The 2,326-nt window shown below is 39.7% G+C and overlaps 1 pseudogene; it reads left to right on the forward strand.

Moving 5' to 3' along the window:
* On the forward strand, nt 382-1,306 carry FTH1P21 (ferritin heavy chain 1 pseudogene 21; annotated as a pseudogene).

Raw genomic sequence — 2,326 nt, forward strand, 5'->3', positions numbered from 1 at the left:
TGCAGAATGATGAAACTAAACCCCCATTTCACACCACATACAAAAATCAACTCAAATGGATTGAAGACTTAAATGTAAGATCCAGAACTATAAAACTACTAGAAGGAAAGAGGGAAAATGTTTTATAACACTGGTGTGGACAAGGATTTTTTTGGATAAGACCTCAAAAGCACAGGCAACAAAAGCAAAAATAGACAAATAGGATTACATCAAACTAAAAAGCTGCACACAAGAGAAACAATCACCAGAGTGAAGAGAAAACCTACAGAATGGGAAAAAGTATTTGCAAGTGATCCATCCAACAAGGGATTAATATTCAGAATATATAAGGAACTCGAACAAATCAATAGCTAAGAAAACAAAATCCATTGAAAAATGAGGAGACGCTCTTCACGTAGAGTGTCCACGGTTTCCTGTTTCAACAGTGCTTGGAGGAACCAGGGCTTGTCCTTCACCCTGGCCTGTGGCTCACAGCCAGCCTTCCAGCACCTCCTCACCGCGCCGTGGGACCACCCCAAGGCCCCTGCCGGCTCCAGCGCTGCGCAGCCTCTGTGGCCTCGGCCTCTCCTTAGCCCCGCCATGAGGATCGGCGTTCTCACAGGTGCCAGAACTACCACCAGGACTCAGAGGCTGCCATCAACTGCCAGATCAACCTGGAACTCTACACCTCCAAGTCTACTTGTCCATGTCTTACTACTTTGACCGCGATGATGTAGCTTAGAATAACTTTGCCAAATACTTTCTTCACCAATCTCATGAGGAGAGGGCACATGCCAAGGGAACTGATGAAGCTGCAGAACCAACGAGGTGGCCAATCTTCCTTCAAGATATCAAGAAACCAGACTGTGATGACTGGGAGAGCTGGCTGAATGAGATGGAGGGTGCATGACATTTGGAGAAAAACATGAATTAGTCACTACTGGAACTGTACAAACTGGCCACTGACAAAAATGACCTCCACTTGTGTGACTTAATGGAGACAAATGTGTCCTGGATGGATTTTCACCTGAAGGAGCAGGTGAAATCCATCAAATAATTGGATGACCACAGTGACCAACTTGCACAAGACGGGAGCACCCAAATCTGGCTTGGCAGAATATGTATTTGACAAACACACCCCCCGAGACAGTGACAATGAGAGCTAAGCCTTAGGCTAATTTCCCCATAGCCATGGGGTAACCTCCCTGGTCACCAAGGCAGTGCATGCATGCTGGGGTTTCCTTTACCTTTTTTTGTAAGTTGTACCAAAACATCCACTTAAGTTCTTTATCAGTTTCATTCCTTCAAATAAAAAAAATTTGGTACCATCCCCCCAAAAGAAAAAATGGGCAAAAGATTTGAATAGACATTTCTCAAAAGAAACCATACAAATGGCAAAGGAGTATATATAAAAAAATCCTCAACATCACCAATTATTTGGGGAATGCAAATCAAAACCGCCATGAGATATCATCTCATCCCAGTTAGAATGACTACTATCAAAAAGGCAAAAAATGACAAATACTGGTGAGGATGCAGAGAAAAGGGAACGTATATACTGTTGGTAGGAATGTAAATTAATTCAGCCATTATGGACAACAGTGTGAGGTTTCTCAAAAAATTACAAATAGAACTACTATATGATTCAGACACCCCAACTAGTGCGTACATATCTAAAGGAAATGAAATCAGTATGTCAAAGAGACATCTGTACTCCTATGTTAGTTGAAGCACTATTTATATCAGCCAAGATATGGAATCAACCTTAAGTGCCTATCAACAGATGAATAGATAAAGAAAATATAAAATATTTACACAATTAAATAAAATTCAGCCATAATAAAGCATGAAATCCCGTCATTTCTGGCAACATGGATGAGCCTAGAGAACATTATTTTAAGTGAAAGAAGCCAGTCACAGAAAGACAAATATGGCACAATCTTACTCATATGTGAAATCTACAAACATTGATCCAATAGGAGTAGAGAGTAGAATTGTGGCTACCAGAGAATGGGAAGGGTAGGGGGAGAGTGGAGACGTTGGGAAATGGGTAAGGAGTTACAGTTAGATAGGAGGAATAAGTTCTAATGTTCCATTTCACAGTAGGGTGACTTTAGTTAACAGTAATCTATTGTATACTTCAAAATAGCTTGAAGGGAGGATTTTAAATGTTCTCACCATAAAAAATTATTAATGTTTGAGGTGACTGATATGCTAATTGTCCTAATATCATATATTATATACATGTATTGAAACATTATACTAAATCCCATAAATATGTACAGTTTTTATGTGTCAATTAAGAATAAAACAAAAAAGAAAGAATATAGGCTTAAAAAGAAATTAG

Source organism: Homo sapiens, chromosome 4 (assembly GCF_000001405.40).
Source record: "Homo sapiens chromosome 4, GRCh38.p14 Primary Assembly".
Taxonomy (NCBI): Eukaryota; Metazoa; Chordata; class Mammalia; order Primates; family Hominidae; genus Homo; species Homo sapiens.